Source organism: Homo sapiens, chromosome 12 (genome assembly GCF_000001405.40).
Source record: "Homo sapiens chromosome 12, GRCh38.p14 Primary Assembly".
NCBI lineage: Eukaryota > Metazoa > Chordata > Mammalia > Primates > Hominidae > Homo > Homo sapiens.
In genome coordinates, this window is record NC_000012.12 from 121753558 (window position 1) to 121773035 (window position 19478).

Below are 19478 nucleotides of genomic sequence, written 5' to 3' on the forward strand. Positions count from 1 at the left end.
GAGACCTTGTCTCAAAAACAAACAAAAAAAAAAAGAATGTTCTGGAGTTAGGTAATGGTTGTACAACTCTGAATATACTAAAAATCACTAAATTATATACTTTAAAAGAACAAGTTTTATGGTATGTGAATTATATCCCAATTATATTTAAAAAAAAAAAGAGAAAAAGAGAAAAGAAAATGGTTTTGAGACCAACTGGCTGTTACTATGGGCAGGTTCCCTCTGGGAGCCTCAGTCTCCCCATCTGTAAAACAAGGGTGACGGCAGTCCCTGCCTCACAGGGCTGTGACAATTCAGGGAGCTGGCACCGTGTGTGGAAGCTCCACCCTGGCTGGCACGTGGAGGCGCTGCTGGGGGTGCTCCCCAGCTGCTGGTACCGTCCAAGTGCAGCACAGCCATGCCGTGAGGCTGTGGGCTGCTGCTGCCCTGCCTGGGCTGCTGTTCCTTTCTCTGGCCCTGGGTTCTCTGTCCCCAGGGGAAGCGGTCAAGTACGGTTTGGGCATTTGGCCTATGTGCCAAGCGTTTATTGCCTGGCAGGCACTTGGCTGGGCATCCGGCTGCTGGTCTGGCCACTTGAATGCCCAAACAAAGGCTCTTTCAGGCCCTGGGCCCGTGCTCGCCTGCTGCCCAGAGCCTGGCCTGTTTCCACGAGGGCAAAGGCTGCACACATCTGTACTACTCCTCATGTGCCTCCCTCAAAGAGGGTAAAAGTTGTCAATGTGCAGCCACAGTCCCTTGCACAGGGACCTCCAGGGCCCTCCGAAGGCAAACCCTTGCTGTCCTGAGGCCCAAGGTTCCCCGAGGGCCTGGGCGTCTCTTTTTCTCCTACCTGCTTCTGTGTTCATCTCCTAGGGCCACTGTAACTAAGTACCATAGACTGGGGGCTTAAAACGACAGACACATTTTCCCACAGTTCTGGAAGCCGGCGGTCTGAAAGCAGGGCGTGGCAGGGCCATGCCGCTCCACAGGCTTCGGGGAGGGAGGACCCTTCCTCGCCTCTCCAGCTTCTGGGAATTGCCAGCAAGCCCGTATTGCCTGGCTTAAAGCTGTGTTTCACTCGCCTCTGTCTCTGTCACCACGCCACACGGCCTCCTTCCCTAGTGTAAGGACACTAGACACTGGATTTAGAGCCCACCCTAACACAGTATGACCTCATTTGAACTAATTCCATCTACAAAGACCCTGTTTCCAAATAAGGTCACATTCTGAGGTCCCAGTGGACGTGAATTTTGGAAGGATGCTATTCAACCCAGTACACCTTCTATAGGCTAAAAACGGGGCAGAGGAGGGGGATTGGACGGGCCGTTCATCTCTGTGCCGGTGCCCCCGGGAAGCCTGCCCTGCTGTTTAACCTTAGGCAAATGACGAACCTCTCCCAGCCTCAGTTTCTTGACAGATACAGTGAGCGTGACAGGAGCTACTTGGCAGGGCAGCTTGGAGGGCAGGAGAAGCTGTGTCTGGAGACTGGTTAGACTGGTGCCTGTTTAAATATTAGCACCGGTTAGCATCACCGTTGTTTTGGGCTAAGACTGGGCATACGGGAAAAAGGCTCACAGCTTCATAGCTAGTGCGTCCACAGAGCAGGATTCTCTTTTCTTCCTCTTGCCCCTCTTGGGATGGTTTCCTGGCTAGGCTCCCCACCCGGAGGCCCTTCTTGGTACCACTAAGCCTGCAGCTGGGCATGGCCAGCATCCTCTAGGGTTCTGGGTCCAGCTCTGCCACTCACGGGCTTTGTGACCTGAAGTGGATCCCTGGGCCTCTCTGTCTGTCTCCTCACCTTTTCCACAGGCTCCAGGACATCTACTCCACCAGTACTCCTTGGGCGTTTGGAGGCTTTGGTGAGGCAGCAGGAGAGTTGGAAGCCTCCTTCTGCTGCCTTCAGGCCAAGAGGCTGTGCCTGGTTAGGACTGTCCTCTATCAGGTTTGAACCAGGCTAGGAAAGAGGTAGTCAGAGTTAATTTTGGCTCGAGTGGGCTTGGGTTTGGACCTCACTCCAGTGCTTGCCGTCTGTGTGATCTGTAAAATGGGAAGTGGTACTGTCTTAGTGTGGGTTGGCCCAGAAGAGACCCCCAAGACAAGCATTTTAGTGCCAGTAGTTTATTTAGGAGGTGATCCCAGGAGACACTGGTAGTGGAATGGGAAGTGAGGCAAGAAAGCATTATCCTGTGGGTAGTTGGAGCTCAATACTGCTAGGGAATGAGGGGACAGCGTAGAACATGCCTCAGAGTTATCCCACCTGAGGGTGAGGGAGCTGGGGTATTTATCCACCATTTGCTATCAGTTGGGGCAGTTGAGGACTGACCCCAGAGGGTGTTAATTGCTCCACCCTTCTGATCTGCACCTTGCACCAGCAGAGTAGATGCTGGTGGCTTGATAAAGCCCCCCAGGAACACCCAGAGTGGCGGGTTCTGGTAGTTGGAAGTCATGCCGACAGGGATGTGGTAAGTGCACCTGCTTTAGGAACCAGTTCTGTAGTGTCCAAGAATCCAGAGCGATCATCTATGCAAAATGCCTGCAAGGTTATAAGTTCCCAATAATTAGTCTCTGCCTAGTGCTGAATAATGATCCCCAAAGATGTTCATGTCCTGGTCTCCAGAGCCCGTGAATAAGTTACCTTACAGAAGGGACTCTGCAGATGTGATTAAGACTCTTGAGATGGGCCGGGTGTGGTGGTTCATGCCTGTAATCCCAGCACTTTGGAAGGCTGAGGTTGGAGGATCGCTTGAGCCCAGGAGTTCAAAACCAGCCTGGGCAACATGGCGAAACCCCCTCTCTACAAAAAATACAAAAATTAGTCGGGCCTGATGGCATGCATCTGTAATCCCAGCTACTCGGGAGGCCAAGGCAGGAGAATTACTTGAACAAAAGAGCAAAACTCTGTCTCTAGATGGAGTCTTGCTATGACCAGTCCTAGCTGGTCTCAAACTCCTAAAGTCTTTGTCCTTGACCCCAACAGGGAAGGTCCCATGTACCTCCCAGTGTCACACAGACTTATCCAGTATGGGAACAGAAATGGCCGCTGGGTGCAGTCTATCTTCATAAAAGGGAGGGAACCCCCCCGAATCTCCTCCATTTCTCTCCCTAAACTGGGAGATGATTTCACCAACTGTAAGGGCCCTGGGGGCAAAATGAAAGGAGGATGCAACTGCTTTGAAGCTTTGTGGCCCTACTTTGTGGTCACAGACAACAGTCACTCTCTGCCCACACCTTGCTGAACCTTTGCTCACAGAGTTCGTCTCAAGAGAGTCAGGAACAGACCCTGGAATCTCAGGGCCTCAGTTCAAATCTGGCTCTGCCTCTTCCCGGCTGTGGGACTGTGGGCAAGTCAGTTGTTCTCCTGAGCTGACACTCCCCACCTGGAGAGCAGGGAGAAGACATGCACCTCCCGTGCAGGGCTGCTGAGGACACTAGCTGAGGACGGTGCCTGAGAGTAGCAGGGCAGTGTACGGTGTCCGTCATGACTTCGGCAGCACCAGAGAGCGTCCACAGTCTCAGAAGCACAGCTCTGAGGACATCAGAGGTCAACATGACTTGAACAGGAAATGAGTGTGGCAAGGGAGGGAGCTCGGCCTCCCTGGGCGGTGGGGGGGGGGGGTGTCACTTATTTATTATTTATATTTTTGAGACAGAGTCTCACTCTGTCACCCAGGCTGGAGTACAGTGGTGTGATCTCAGCTCACTGCAACCTCTGTCTCCTGGGTTCAAGCGATTCACCTGCCTCAGCATCCCGAGTAGCTGAGATCACAGGAGCGCACCACCACACCCGGATAATTTTTTGTATTTTGTTTTGTTTTGTTTTTTTGAGACAGAGTCTCACTCTGTCTCCGAGGCTGGAGTGCAGTGGCGCGATCTTGGCTCACTGCAAGCTCCGCCTCCCGGGTTCACACCATTCTCCTGCCTCAGCCTCCCAAGTAGCTGGGACTACAGGTGCTTACCACTGCGCCCGGCTAATTATTATTATTATTTATTTTTTTTTTGAGACAGAGTCTTGCTTTGTCGCCCAGGCTGGAGTGCAGTGGCACGATCTTGGCTCACTGCAAGCTCTGCCTCCTGGGTTCATGCCATTCTCCTGCCTCAGCCTCCCGAGTAGCTGGGACTACAGGTGCCCGCCACCATGCCCGGCTACTTTTTTGTATTTTTAGTAGAGACGGGGTTTCACCATGTTAGCCAGGATGGTCTCGATCTCCTGACCTCGTGATCCACCCACCTCGGCCTCCCAAAGTGTTGGGATTACAGGCGTGAGCCACCACGCCCAGCCGATTTTTTTGTATTTTTAATAGAGATGGGGTTTCACCATGTTGGCCAGGCTGGTCTTGAACTCCTGACCTCAAGTGATCCACCCACGTTAGCCTCCCAGAGTGCTGGAATTATAGGCGCAAGCCACTGTGCCCAGCCAAGAAAAGTTTTTAAAATTAGCCTGATGTGGTATTGTGCACCTGTATTCCCACCTACTTAGGAGTCTGAGGTGAGAGGATCGCTTGAGCCCAGGAGATTAAGGCTACAGTGGGCCATGATCACGTCACTGCACTCCAGCCTGACTCTAAAAACAGAAAAAAATTGCCAAAGACAGAGCCTTTGTCAGTGCCTCCTCAGACAGACTGGCAGTGGTGGGGAAGCCCTCAGAGGGGCGTCTGTCACTGACTCTCTCACAGAGTTCTTTTCCCTGGGGATGCTCACATGGTGGGTCGGCCTCTCCACTTCACAGATTGCAGGGCTGAGGCCAGTGGGGCTCTGATAATCCCCACACAGCGGTCTGCCGGCCCTCCATGCTGACCAGGTACAGCATGCTCCACAGCCCGGGTCTGTCGCCTTCAAAGCTGGATCGGCCCAGCCCCGCGCTGTGGTCACCATGGAGGAGGACGGCCCAGCCCCGCGCTGTGGTCACCATGGAGGAGGATGGCCTAGCTCCACGCTGTGGCCACCATGGAGGAGGACGGCCCAGCCCCGCGCTGTGGTCACCATGGAGGAGGATGGCCTAGCTCCACGCTGTGGCCACCATGGAGGAGGACGGCCCAGCCCCGTGCTGTGGTCACCATGGAGGAGGACGGCCCAGCCCCGCGCTGTGGTCACCATGGAGGAGGACGGCCCAGCCCCGCGCTGTGGTCACCATGGAGGAGGATGGCCTAGCTCCACGCTGTGGTCACCATGGAGGAGGACGGCCCAGCTCCACGCTGTGGTCACCATGGAGGAGGACGGCCCAGCCCTGCGCTGTGGTCACCATGGAGGAGGACGGCCTAGCCCCGTGCTGTGGTCACCATGGAGGAGGACGGCCTAGCTCCACGTTGTGGTCACCATAGAGGAGGACGGCCCAGCCCCGTGCTGTGGTCACCATGGAGGAGGACGGCCTAGCCCCGTGCTGTGGTCACCATGGAGGAGGACGGCCCAGCCCCGCGCTGTGGTCACCATGGAGGAGGAAAAGGAGTTCTTCAGTTAGTGTTACAGACAATATGGCCCACTGGGATTTTTTTATATATGTAACAAAGTTTACAGATGGTTTAAGGGGACACAGGGAGTTTATAGCTTAACACTGCAGACAACCTAAAATAGAACATAGAGTGTCTACTGTTTTTTTTTTTTTTCTGAGGTGGAGTCTCGCTCACTCCCCTCGGCCTCCCAAAGTGCTGGGATTACAGGCGTGAGCCACCGCACCCAGCCAAGTCTCCTGTTCTTAAAGTTCTCCCGTTAGTGGTGGTAGTATTCAAGTTCCCTGCGGCAAATCCGAACGGGTCTGCAGCGACCTCCATTCTTGCCTCTTCAGAAGAAAGAATTTGACTGAGGGGCATAAGGCAGAAGAAGAAACAAGTTTTAGAGCAGGAGTGAAAGTATATTAAAAAGCTTGGCCGGATGCGGTGGCTCACGCTTGTAGTCCCAACACTTTGAGAGGCCGAGGCAGGTGGATCACCTGAGGTCAGGAGTTTGAGACCAGCCTGGCCAATGTGGTGAAACCCTGTCTCTGTTGAAAATACAAAGATTAGCTGGGTGTGGTGGCAGGCGCCTGTAATCCCATCTACTCTGGAGGCTGAGGCAAGAAAATCGCTTGAACCCAGGAGGTGGAGGTTGCAGTGAGCCGAGATCCCACCATTGCACTCCAGCCTGGGTGAAAGAGTGAAACTCCGTGTCAAACAAACAAAACGCTTTAGAGCAGGAATGAAAAGCCACTGGGCGCAGTGGCTCATGCCTGTAATGCCAGCACTTTTGGGAGGCTGAGTTGGGTGAATCACTTGTGGTCAGGAGTTCGATACCAGCCTGGCCAACATGGTGAAACCCCATCTCTACTAAAAATACAAAAATCAGGCCGGGTGCGATAACTCACCCCTGTAATCCCAGCACTTTGGGAAGCCGAGGCAGGTGGATCACGAGGTCAAGAGATCGAGACCATCCTGACCAACATGGTGAAACCTCTTCTCTACTAAAAGTACAAAAATCAGCTGGGCATCATGGTGTGCACCCATAGTCCCAGCTACTCAGGAGGCTGAGGCAGGAAAATCACTTGAACCCAGGAGGCGGAGGTTGCAGTAAGCCGAGATCACGCCACCGCACTCCAGCCTGGCCCCAGAGCGAAACTACGTCTCAAAAAAAAAAAAAAAAAAAAAAAATTAGCTGGGTGTGGTGGAGCATGCCTGTAGTCCCAGCTACTCGGGAGGCTGAGGCAGGAGAATCGGTTGAACCCGGGAGGCAGAGGTTGCAGTGAGCCAAGATTGCGCCACTGCACTCCAGCCTGAGCGAGACTCTGTCTCAAAAAAAAAAAGAAAAAGTAAAGTACACTTAGAAGAGGGCCGAGCGGGCATCTTGGAGGACAAGTGTGCGGTGTGCCCTTTGACCTGGGGTCTTATATGCTGGCAGACTTCCGGGGGTCTGGTGACCCTCCTCTGATTCTTCCCTTGGGGTGGGCTGTCTGCATGCGCAGTGGCCTGCGAGCTGGGAGGGGCGCGTGCGCAGTTTGTTTCCTGGAGTTGCACACATGCTCACTTGAGGCATCCTTCCCTTTGCCAGTGGAATGTCCCCGGAAAGTCATGTACGAGTTAAACACTGTCATTTTGCCTCCTAGTGCACGTGCTTGAGCCCACTTGCTCAGCTCCTGAGATCTTACCAGGAGGCTGCTGATCACCAGCTTCATGTTTTTCCTATCTATAGGGAGATTGCCTTTCCCTGGCACTGGGTGTGGCCAATTATTATTTAAGAGAGACAGTTAACAACCACCTGACCATTACCTGATGGTCACCTGACATTCCTGGTTGGAGGGGGCCCTGTTTATATCTGATTAGCTACCTACTCTAACTCTCTAACATCACAGACGGTAGGGCCCATAGGTAATTTTTTGTATTAAATACATGTAACAAAGTTTACAGATGCTTTAAGGGGGCAGAGGGAGTTTATATCTTAACACTGCAGGCAACCTTAAATAGAACATTAAGTCTCCCATTCTTTTGTTTTTTTTTGGGACAGAGTCTCGCTCTGTCGCTCAGGCTGGAGTGCAATGGCACGATCTCAGCTCACTGCAACCTCCACCTCCTGGGTTCAAGCAATTCTCCTACCTCAGCCTCCCAAGCAGCTGGGACTACAGGTGTGTGCCACCACACCCTGGTAATTTTTGTATTTTTAGTAGAGATGGAGTTTCACCATATTGGCCAAACTGGTCTCGAACTCCTGGCCTCAAGTGATCCATCTGTCTCAGCCTCCCCAAGTGCTGGGATTACAGGCGGGAGCCACCACGCCTGGCCAAGTCTCCCGTTCTTAAAGTCCTTCCGTTAACATCCCACCAGAAATTTCACATCACATGGGAAGAGTTTAGAAGACAGACAGGTTGCCCTGGGCTGAGTGGTCAGGGAAGGAGGGGGAGACTCAGCTGGAGCTTGAAGCGCAGGTGGGACTCAGGGAGAAAGATGAGGAGGTTCAGAGGCATTTGCAGGGCCGGGGAAGACGCTCAAGAGACCAAGCTCCCCCTGCCTCCCTGGTGTCATAAGGGCTTCCAGAGGCAGCGCGTGCTGTGGGCAGCCCTCAGCCTGGTTTGCTGCTCTGTGAGGTGAGGGTGGGATGGCTGTGCCTGGTTCTCACGCCCGCACCCCTCCCGGGGGCTGTTTCCTTGCACAGGGTGACTGACGAAGTCTTCAACTTCCTGCTGGTGTGGTATTACTGCACCCTGACCATTCGGGAGAGCATTCTCATCAGCAACGGCTCAAGGTACCTGGGCACCTGGCTTTGTGGGGAGCACAAGAGGAGTTAAAGGGAAATGTCACGAGGGGCGTCAGATGGGGGCCGACACCCTCAGGCTGCATTCCTCTCCTCCTTGGGGGTTGCTCTGTGACTGTTCAGATCCAGGAAGGAGGAAAGCTGATGCTGTTGATGCGGCAGCTCTTGTTTATGATCAGCCTCTTGCTTATGAGCAATAGAAGACCTAACTCAGACTGGCTCAACACAATAAGAAACATATTTTCTCATAAAAAGAAGTGAGCGGCATGGCACGGTGGCTCACGCCTGTAATCCCAGCACTTTGGGAGGCCGAGGGGGGCAGATCACGAGGTCAGGAGATGGAGACCAGTCTGGCCAACATAGTGAAACCCTGTCTCTACTAAAAATACAAAAAATTAGCCGGGTGTGGTCCCAGCTACTCAGAAGGCTGAGGCAGAATAGCGTGAACCCAGGAGGCAGAGGTTGCAGTGAGCTGAGATCGCACCATTGCACTCCAGCCCAGGGACAATGCAGGACTCTGTCTCAAAAAAAAAAAAAAAAGAGGTGACCCATTGTTCTGCCTTCAGTTAAGTCTTGATCCAAGTGCTCTCCGTCTCTCACTTCTGCCTTCTGTGTTGTGTTTATCTCAGGCTGCTATTGGGGCACCCAGCAACTCCAGGCTCATGTCACTATTTATAGCATTCCCAGCAAACGGAGCACATTCCTCTCTTCCAAGACTCTCACTGGGTCGCACTGGCTATGTCCAGGTGCAGAATGGATCATGTACCTATCCCTGAACCAGTCACTGTTGCCAGGGATTGCAGTGCTGTGACTGGCCAGGCTGGAGCCTCACACCCACCCTGATAGCCGTCACTGGGAGCGGAGAAGCTGAGTGTCAGGAGAGGAATGGTTCCTCAGAGGAAAACTGGGAGACCGTTACTAGGAGGATGGACGGGTTTTGGTGACAAGAGTGGGTGGGTGGTCTTCTACGGGGAGATAGAGGGGAGAGTGGACAGGTGAAGAGGATATTAGGCCAAACCTGCCCCACCAGAGAGATGATGCTGGGGAGGACAGAGGCCGGGCTAGGAGTGTGGACTCCTGGGTTCCGGTCCCAGTGCAGTCACTGAGCAGCCCTGTGACCCTGGGCAAGCCATGTATCCTCTTTGGACTGTTTCAGAGTCCCACGGGGGAGTGGGTGTGTCACAGTGGTGCTGAGTGAGTCCAGGCAAGACTGGGGGTTCCCTTGGCCCCCATCTCTGAAGGGCTCTGAGTGCGAGAAGCCCTGTTGTTTTCTCTCAGTCTCTTTCCTGCCCTGCCTGCCTCTAAGCTGAGTCTTGAGACCCAGTTAAAACCCATGACTTGCCACCTGGAGGACCTATTTTCCAAAGGTCTAATTCCTTTTGGGGGTGGCCATTGGAACCTCGGCATGCCTTTTTTTTTTTTTTTTTTTTTTTGAGACGAAGTCTTGCTCTGTCGCCCAGGCTGGAGTGCAGTGGCGCAATCTCGGCTCACTGCAACCTCCGCCTCCCGGGTTCACGCCATTCTCCTGCCTCAGCCTCTTGAGTAGCTGGGACTACAGGCGCCCGCCACCACACCCGGCTAATTTTTTGTATTTTTAGTAGAGATGGGGTTTCACTGTGTTAGCCAGGATGGTCTCGATCTCCTGACCTCGTGATCCGCCCACCTCAGCCTCCCAAAGTGCTGGGATTACAGGCGTGAGCCACTGCACCTGGCCGAGATGGAGTCTTGTTCTGTGGCCTAGACTGGAGTGCAGTGGCACCATCTCAGCTCACTGCAACCTCTGCCTCCCAGTTGAAGCGATTCTTCTGTCTCAGCCTCCCGAGTAGCTAGGATCACAGGTGCGTGCCACCACGCCCAGCTAATTTTTGTATTTTTAGTAGAGACTGGGTTTCATCATGTTGGCCAGGCTGGTCTCAAACTCTTGACCTCAAGTGATCTGCCCTCCTTGGCCTCCCAAAGTGTTGGGATTACAGGTGTGAGCCACCGCGCCCTGCCAACGTGCCATTCCGGTTCCTGTTCTTTCCTGAAACAAAAAGTAACAAGCTCCTGCTTCCTCCTTCCTCCTGGGAACTAGTGAGGAACACCCAGGAGCTGCGCAGCCCCCACCGCCTAATGTGCCACCTTCCCACTTGTTTGCCTTGTGGTTTCGTATGGCAGGTCCCTGCCCTACACTGAACGTAGAGCCTGGAGGTAAGGAGAGCCCCCCTCCTGCCTGGCCTCCTGAGGGCAACAGGAAGTTTCACGAATGCAACCTTGTAGCTGCACACAGCCATTTAGAAAACATCAGTGTGTAGGCCAGGCATGGTGGCTCACGCCTGTAATCCCAGCATTTTGGGAGGCAGAGGTGGGCAGATCACTGGAGCCCAGGAGTTCAAGACCAGCCTGGGCAACAAAATAAGATTTCATCTTTACCAAAAAAAAAAAAAAAAAATTAGCTGGGCATGGTGGTGTGTGCCTGTAGTCCCAGCTAATTAAAAAATTAACCAGGCATGGGCCAGGTGCGGTGGCTCATGCCTGTAATCCCAGCACTTTGGGAGGCCAAGGCGGTGGATCACCTGAGGTCAGGAGTTTGAGACCAGCCTGACCAACATGGGGAAACCCCATCTCTCCTAAAAATACAAAATTAGCCGGGCGTGGTGGTGCATGCCTGTAATCCCAGCTACTCAGGAAGGCTGAGGCAGGAGAATTGCTTGAACCCGGGAGGCTGAGGTTGTGGTGAGCCGAGATCATGCCACTGCACTCCAGCCTGGGCAACAAGAGTGAAACTCGGTCTAAAAAAAAATTAGCCAGGCATGGTGGTGTACACCTGTAGTCCTAGCTACTCAGGAGGCTGAGGTGGGAGGATTGTATGAGCCCAGGAGGTTGAGGCCACTGCACTCCAGCCTAGGCAAGTGAGACCCTGACTCAAAAAAAAAAAAGTGCTCTGGGGCATGTGATGCCTCTAGCAATCATTAACACTTTAGTAAGAGTTACTCTGGGCAGCTTTTTATTCTAATGTGACGCTGTGGATGGGGGGCGACCAGAGAGATGGGAGCAGCACTGAGTGGAGGTCTCTGCAAGTGTGGGACTCTCCAGCAAAACAGAGAGGGCTGCTAACAGGGCAAAAATGGACTTCCAAAGCCAGCCTCCCTTGCCTAACAGTTTAGCAGGAGCTGTTCAGAGTTCCTGGAGTTCACTCTCTGACAGGAGAGCAGGGATGGTTGTCCCTGAGCTTGCAATTCAAAGCTTCGTGTGAGTCTGCTCTACCCTCCATCTGCCATTCATCAGACATTTATTGAGTGTCTCCTAAGTACCAAACACTGAACTAAGGACTCCAAGATAACTTACACTCTGCCTCCTGGGAGCACCCACAGAGGTTTTTTTCTTTTCTTTCTTTTCTTTCTTTTTTTTTTTTTTTTTTGAGACAGAGTCGTGCTCTGTCACTTAGGCTGGAGTGCAGTGGTGTGTTCTCGGCTCACTGCAGCCTCCGCCTCCTGGGTTCAAGCAATTCTCCTGCCTCAGCCTCCCAAGTAGCTGGGATTAGAGGTGCACACCACCATGCCTAGCTAATTTTTGTATTTTTAGTAGAGATGGGGTTTCACCGTGCTGGCCAGGCTGATCTTGAACTCCTGACCTCAGGTGATCTGCTCACCTCGGCCTTCTGAAGTGCTGGGATTAGAGGCATGAGCCACTGTGCCCAGCCCCGAGTTTTTTTTACTAAGGACCTTTTATGGCATATATGGTTCAAGGAATTTGAGGTTGCAATGGAACCATTCCTCCAGGCCTGTCTCCCCTTGGTGGTCTGAGGCAGGGGTTTGAATGGGCAAGTGGAGTCTGGAATGGGGCCTCTGGGCCCAAATAGATGCATTATCTTCTATTTAGGTTAGTCTAAAAGTATTTGTGTTTTGCAGTCATTTTTTGCACCAACCTAATAGAAGGACTACAGGAGCTGGGGCCAGCTTGTCGGGGAGGGAGCAAGGCAGGTGGGCTAAATCCGAGTGACTCATACTTGTGACTCATCTTCCACATCTGTTGGAGATTTAGCCTCCGCCCTCCTCCAGCTCCTCCTCAGGGCTGATTGATCCTGGGGGCAGGCAAGGGAGATGCCTTGGAGGCCTCCCCTCCTGCTTGGTTCTTTACCAGGGAGTAGCTCAGAAGCCCTTGCAGGAGAGCCTGTGTGGAGGCGGTGGGAGGTGAGACTGGGATGAACTCTAGTTTCTCATCCCTGAAGCATCCACTCACTCGGGGCTGGTGCGCGCCGTCAACACCCCACAGTCTTTGCCGAAGTGACCCAAACCCAAGTTCTGCGTGAGGAAGGGTCCTGGGGCCATCACGGCATTCTAGAGACGGCGTCGCTGAACCCTACGGGCCTCCTGGGGGCCTGCTGCCCTGTTTTGTCTGATGGAGGCGCTTTTGTCCAGTTCTGGCTGCACCTGAGATTTGAATTGGGACAGGAGGTGTGGTCAGGGGAGCAGGTAGGGGTGGGGACTTCCTCATCGAGATATGAAGCCACCCTCGGTTTGTGTCTGGTGCCTGCCAAGTGAGATGCCACTCATCAGCTCAGCATAATAAGCAAGTCAGCTCTTGTAAACTTGAAAATGATGGAAAACCATCCCATAGGGACTAAACCTGAAGGGGTCTTATGGGCCCATGTAACTGGGAATTTCCATTCAAGGAGGTCAGGAGGGCTCAGGAGGTGTTCATGGCCCGGCTCCAGCTCCCTGTTCTGTTTTCCCCTGCGATGGCCCCCAGCGGCCCCCAGGCAGGCCTCCCACCAGCAGTAACCCCTGGGCTGACAGACCTCCCTCCACCCCAGTTGGAATCTTGACACAGACTTCTGATTGGCCAGGCTTGGGTGACCTACTGATCTCTGAGAGCCAGTCACTGTTGCCAGAGGACTGCAGAGGGTCCTGATTGGTTGGCTGGGGGTCATGTGCTTGGGTATAAGACTGTGGTCTATCCCAGCCACCCAGACTGAGTGTGGGGGTGAGGTGGTTCCCCACAGGGGCAAAGCAGAGGCCACCCAATGAGGATGGGCTGTGATCAGCAACTGGGCAAAACAGCCGATGTCTATTACAGTTAGTTCTGGGCCAGAATGAGTAATGACTCGGTGATCATGTTTGGTTTTCTAGGGAGCCAGCCTAGGGTGCCTGCCTCCAACTGGCTTTTCTAGGAGGGATCCTCAGTGGAGAAGCCATTCCCCACTGTCTAGATGGCCCAAGGCACAGAGCCAGGAGTGGCCTGGGGTTCACAGTGGCTGGTGCACATATCTCCTGCACACTCACAGCCATGTTAATGTGTCCTGAAGGGAGAAGTCTACCCTTGCAATTTCCAGATATTGGGACATGCTGTCCCTACGTCTGGCCATTGATGCACCTGCTCCTCCTGGAGCTCATAAAATAAAAAAAGGCCGTGAGCTCCTGCAAGGTTTCTTTTTTGTTTTGTTTTGTTTGAGATGGAGTCTCGCTCTGTCGCCCAGGCTGGAGTGCAGTGGTGCGATCTCGGCTCACTGCAAGCTCCGCGTCCCGGGTTCACGCCATTCTCCTGCCTCAACCTCCCGAGTAGCTGGGACTACAGGCACCCGCCACCACGCCCGGCTAATTTTTGTATTTTTTAGTAGAGACGGGGTTTCACTATGTTAGCCAGGATGGTCTCGATCTCCTGACCTGGTGATCTGCCCGCCTCGGCCTCCCAAAGTGCTGGGATTACAGGCGTGAGCCACCGCGCCCAGCTGCCCCTGCAAGCTTTAACTTCTGTGGTGAAATGAGCCCAGAGAGTGACTGCAAATGGGTGTAGGTTTCTTTCTGCAATGATAAAAAGGTTTTAAAACAGATTCTGGTGACAGTTGCACAACTCTGTGAATATACTAAAAGCCACTCAGTTGTGCACTTTCAGTGAGTGAATTGTACGGTATCTGAATCACATCACAGTAAAATGGCTACATAAACACATGTGCACACAACCAGCCCAGAGCCCCGGGGTGTGCAGATGGACGCCTGGGCTTGTGAATGCCGGGCCAGGGAAGGAGCGATTTCTAGCCTCACCCGATGTCACTGAGCTGTGTTTATTGGTGGCATCTGTCAGAGCTGGGCTCTGGGCACGGCGAGCTGTGAAATGAAAAGCTGCTGCTCAGTCAGGCTTGTTGCCTGGAGTCTGTGTCTGCCTCAGGCTGCTCCTAGACAGAGGGCATTTCTCAGGGGAGCTTTGGGAGCAGGACAAAGGAGTGTGGCGCCTGCCAAGTGCTGAGGGCTGACGTGGCTCTGCAGAGCTCTGGGAAGTTGCAGAGAGACCTCCTGGTTGCTCTTCAAGCTGGAAGTTGGGGGATCTGGCCAACTGCCTTTGCTGTCAGAAATTTGGAGCCCAGGGGCTTCTTAGACTCTGACAGGCGAGACTAGGATACATGAGTGGAGGTGGGAGTTTTCTGGGGACAAAGAAGTAGATGGACATCTCACCCTGTCCCCATGACCGCACGTGGCACCTGCAACAATCTCCTGTCACCTCTGCGCTGGTGGCATCCAGATTAGCTGCTGCTTTCACCAGCCACACCTCCCAGGCATCATTCATGTCAACATTTATTGAGTGCCTGTTGTTTACCTGGTGCTGTTAGTGCTGTGAACACAGAGCTGCATAAAACCTTGCCCCTCAGCATAACTCCTGGGGAACACACAGGCTGTTGCTTGAAAAGCCAATTTATGCCCAGAACTGTTGCATGGGCCGTCAAGGGAAGAGTGATGGTTTAGATCCAGTCTCGTTCTTACGATGTGCGTATGCGAGACCCTGCCTGGAAAAAAAAGAGAAAGCACGTGGGCGTGTGTGTGGACCCATTTCCCTGCCCAGTCCCAAGAGAGTTCTGGAGGGATGAAGGTTAATGACTGTTCCCACGAGCATCCCCAGCCTCCACCTCCCAGTCCTGGGGAGGAGGGAGTTGGCTGCTCCTGGGTGCATTTGGCAAGTTGCTGCCATGTGTTTGGACTAGAGGAGCCTGGGGAGGCCAGCCAAGGCCTGAGACACACTCTGGGATGTTGAAGGTTACAGGGTTGAGGGGTCCAACTCCTTTTTTCCTAGGCTGCCCCTGATGCTGGGGGTGGGGGGTGACAACCAGGCTCTACCCAACTGTGGATCAGGAGCCCCCAGCTGGGCCGGGTGCAGTGACTCATGCCTGTAATCCCAGCACTTTGGGAGGCCGAGGCAGGTGGATCCCCTGAGGTCAGGAGTTCGAGACCAGCCTGGCCAACCTGTTGAAATCCTGTCTCTACTAAAAATACAAAAATTAGCCAGGTGTGGTGGCAGGCGCCTGTAGTCGCAGCTACTCGGGAGACTGAGGCAGGAGAATTGCCTGAACCCAGGAGGCGGAGGTTGTAGTGAGCCAAGAATGTGCCATTGCACTCCAGCCTGGGCAATAGAGCAAGACTGTCTCAAAAAAAAAAAAAAAAGGCAAAAAAAAAAACCCCAAAAAACCCAGCTGGGGGAGTGCTGAGTTCTGGAAACAGAGTTCCCATAGCCTCTGGACTGGATAGATGAAGTCCAGGGCTGGGCAAGGGCCTCCTGTCACTGAGATGACAGGAGATGGGCCTGGGGCATGTAGCTCCTGGGGAGAAGCTGCCTCGGAGATGGTGTGAGGTGCCGCGTGTGGCATCCATCAGCCTCTGCTTCTGTACAGGGCAATGTCATAGCTGCAGTCCTGTGTAAGAATGTCTGGCCAGGCACAGTGGGTCACGACTATAATCCTAGCACTTTGGAAGGCCAAGGCAAGAGGATTGCTTGAGCCCAGGAATTTGAGACCAGTCGGGGCAACATAGCAAGACCCTGTCTCTAAAAAAAAAAAAATTTAGCTGGGCGTGGTGGCGCACGCCTGTGATCCCAGCTACTCAGGAGGCTGAGGTGGGAGAATTGCTTGACCTGGGAGGTCAGGGCTGCAGTGAGCCATGATTGCACCACTGCACTCCAGACAGGGTGACAGAGTGAGACCCTGCCTGGAAAAGAGAAAACGTGTGTGTGTGTGTGTGTGTGTACATGCATGCTTATTCAACACATTTATTGAGCAGCTGCTTGGAACCCAGGGTCACAGATAGACTGGTGAACAATAGAGACAAGACCCCTGCTCAATCTAGAGGTGACATAGGGGTGGGAGAGGGGGCAGATCACAGGAAGAAAGGCACGTAATTGCAGACAGTGATCCATGCCATGAAGGAGGTGAAGTGGGGCAGTGTGATCCGAGTGGGGCCATCAGGCTGGTTCAGATAAGGCGGTCAGGAGGCCTTTGTGAGGTGACAGCTAGTCTGAAGCTTGCACTTGGACGAGGAGCCAGGCACGTCAAGGTCTTGGAGCAGAGAGAGCAGCAAGTCCAAAGGCCCTGGGTGAGCCCGCTGGGTGTAGCTGTAGGAAGTACCGCCCGCCGAGTGTCCTAAGCCACAGAGTGTATTTCCTCACAGTTTGGTGCTGGAAGTCTAGAATGGAGGTACTGGCGGGGCTGGTTTCTCCTGAGACCATTCTCTGTGGCTCACAGATGGCATCTCCCCGTGTGTCCTCATGTGGCCTTTTCTCTGTGCACAAACAGCCCTGGTGTCTCTCCCCTTCTTGCAGAGACACCAGTCACACTGGACTAGGGCCCACCAGTGTGACCTTGTTTTACCTCAGTCCCCTCTTCAAAGGCCCTGTCTTCAAATACAGTCACGGACGTTCTAAGGTGCTGGGGGGCTCAGCTTCAGTGCAGGAATTGGAGCCACTATTCAGTCTGTAGGAGGCCCTGAGGTGGCAGCAGGCAGGCTTGGCGGGTTCTAGGAGAGCCCACATTCCTGGAGGGCCTGCGTGCTGGGGAGAAGACCTGGTGGGGAGGACAGGAGCCGTGCCTGGAGCGCCCGCGTGCTGGGGAGAGGACCAGGTGGGGAGGACAGGAGTGAGGCTTGAAGGCAGGTGAGGCTAGGGGTGTGCTCTGAGGGTTGCTGGAAACCACTGGAAGCCCAAGTGGGAGTCCAGGCTAATCTGCAGCTGGTTTGTGTGGGATGGTGCAGCCCTGTGGGACAGAGAGGAGGGCACGGTCAGGGTTCCAGTCTGTTTCTTACTCCAAGAAGCCGTCTCTGAGTGCAGAGTAACCCCTGCTGCATAGGTGGGGCCTCAGCGAGACACATGCCTGCGTTGCTCTCCCCTCCTGAGCACTTTCCGTTCTCTCCCTCTCCCGAGAATTAAAGGCTGGTGGGTGTCTCACCACTACGTCTCCACATTCCTGTCCGGAGTGATGCTGACCTGGTGAGTAGCCCCTCGCTGGGCCCCTCCAGCCTCCCAGGGAGTAGAGCCTGGGGCCCGGGAATGGGGAGGGGGCTGATCCAGACAGCGGTGGGGGGTGTGCTCCAGGGCCAACTTGGGAAAGAAAGTATGAGCCTGCAGCTGCGCCGGGCTGCGCGGGCCCCACCCAGCCCGTGAGGGGTTCTCCAGGGAATGGTTTCGGGTGTCCCTGGCCAGGGCAGAGGTAGCGGGGCTGCAAGGCTGGAGGGAGCGAGTGAGGCTGGGCACTGAAGGAGACTGCGGAGGACAGAGGGGTCACAGGGAGTTAGCGCTTCTGCACGGCCATGTGGACCCCTGTGCTTCTAGAAAGGAAGATGGGATGACCTCGCCCAGCCCCAGGGATAGAAGGGCGGAAGTCTGGACCTCAGTTTGACTTTATACACCTTTTCGCCTCTTCTGGTTGGAATGGAGTTGGGGCGGGGAGGAATGTCTCATTTCATAGTGGGCCCCACCTTTGTTTTTTCCTACCTTCTCTCCAGGCCTAATGGACCCATTTATCAGAAGTTTCGCAACCAGTTCTTAGCATTTTCCATTTTTCAGAGTGAGTGACTGTTGCCTGGATTTGGGGGAAGGGACATGGTTTTCTGAGACTTTCACCAAGGGAGGGCCCCAGCTGACATCAATCAGTGCTTGCCTGTGTGGCAGGGAGACCAGACTGGGGGAGAGGGTCCCAGAAATCCAGAAGGAGAGCTGTCCCCGCCCCAGGTCAGCTCCACCCACCTCCCAGCCCCCAGCACTGCCTGCTCCTTCCCCAGGCTGGAACCCTGCCAACTGTGACCTTTGGGAACTGAGTAGCATTGGGGATACCAGCCTTTTTTCCAGTCCTAAATAAGTCCTCCAAATGGAAATATATATTATTTTTCTCATCTGAAAATTGCTCTGGATTTGTATACTGGTCCCAAGGGTTGCCTCTGGGGAAGGGGGCTTGAATGCTTGGGGACAGGGAGAGCGTCTTACTTTTCACCAACCTGTTTGTTCCCTTTAAATTTTATCCCATGTGTGTATTGCCTTTCTTTCCCTTTCTTTCTTTCTCTTTCTTTCTTTCTTTTTCTTCCTTTCTTTTTCTTTCTTTCTCTTTCTCTCTCTCTCTCTTTCTCTCTTTCTCTCTCTCTCTCTTTCTCTCTTTCTTTCTTTCTTTCTGATGGAGTCTTGCTCTGTTGCCCAGGCTGGAGTGCAGTGGCGCGATCTTGGCTCACTGCAACCTCCGCCTCCTGGGTTCAAACGATTCTTCTGCCTCAGCCTCCCGGGTGGCTGGGACTACAGGTGCGCACCACCACGCCCAGCTAATTTTTTTTATTTTTAATAAAGATGAGATTTCACCATGTTGGTCAGGGTGGTCTGGAACTCCTGACCTCAGGTGGTCCACCCACCTCTGCCACCCAAAGTGTTGGGATTACAGGCATGAGCCACCACGCCGTACCGTTTCTTTCTTTTTTTTTTTTTTTGAGATGGAGTTTCTGTCTGTCACCCAGGCTGGAGTGCGGTGTTGTGATCTCGGCTCACTGCAACCTCCACCTCCCGGTTCAAGCGATTCTCCTGCCAAGTAGCTGGGATTACAGGTGCCTGCCACCATGCCTGGTTACTTTTTGTATTTTGGTAGAGATGAGATTTCACCAGTTGGCCAGGCTGGTCTTGAACTCCTGGCCTCAAGGGATCTGCCTGCCTTGGCTTCCCAAAGTGTTGGGATTACAGGCATGAGCCATCACGCCTGGCTGTATTGACTTTTCAGATACTACAACCTACATTTTAAGTTAAAACCTGCTTGCAAACAAATACAAATGTATAAAGCCAAGAATGGAAATTGTATATCAGCCCACCCTAGAGGTGACGTTAGTTAAGATCTATGTCCTCTCAAAAGTTTTTATTCATAAATAGGTATATACATGTGTGTATTACATTATGTATCTTTTACAAGTATGGGACCTTTCTGTACATAGAGCTTTACTATTATAACCTGCCTTTTGAATTTTTAACAGTTTATCATGGCTATTTTTCATGTCATTACCACCTCATTTTTAGCAACAACG

At 53.4% G+C, this 19478-nt stretch overlaps 1 protein-coding gene across 1 annotated transcript in view, besides 3 other annotated features; it reads left to right on the top strand.

The window, feature by feature from the left end:
- TMEM120B (transmembrane protein 120B) overlaps positions 1-19478 on the top strand; it is a 69317-nt gene that overhangs the window by 40806 nt on the left and 9033 nt on the right. Inside the window, exons 6-8 of the mRNA NM_001080825.2 lie at positions 8092-8181; positions 17350-17415; positions 17931-17992. Coding sequence (NP_001074294.2) covers positions 8092-8181; positions 17350-17415; positions 17931-17992 — 218 coding nt within the window. The remainder of the gene's footprint in view (positions 1-8091; positions 8182-17349; positions 17416-17930; positions 17993-19478) is intronic.
- Positions 3444-3944: an enhancer, noted in NCBI's record as "H3K27ac hESC enhancer chr12:122194907-122195407 (GRCh37/hg19 assembly coordinates)". NCBI's record gives its function as "activates a minimal SCP1, AML or CMV promoter by ChIP-STARR-seq in naive H9 embryonic stem cells {active_cell/tissue: H9 hESC(naive)}" and the evidence as "EXISTENCE:reporter gene assay evidence [ECO:0000049][PMID:30033119]".
- Positions 12932-13435: an enhancer, noted in NCBI's record as "H3K27ac-H3K4me1 hESC enhancer chr12:122204395-122204898 (GRCh37/hg19 assembly coordinates)". NCBI's record gives its function as "activates a minimal SCP1, AML or CMV promoter by ChIP-STARR-seq in primed H9 embryonic stem cells {active_cell/tissue: H9 hESC(primed)}" and the evidence as "EXISTENCE:reporter gene assay evidence [ECO:0000049][PMID:30033119]".
- Positions 16525-17037: an enhancer, noted in NCBI's record as "H3K27ac-H3K4me1 hESC enhancer chr12:122207988-122208500 (GRCh37/hg19 assembly coordinates)". NCBI's record gives its function as "activates a minimal SCP1, AML or CMV promoter by ChIP-STARR-seq in primed H9 embryonic stem cells {active_cell/tissue: H9 hESC(primed)}" and the evidence as "EXISTENCE:reporter gene assay evidence [ECO:0000049][PMID:30033119]".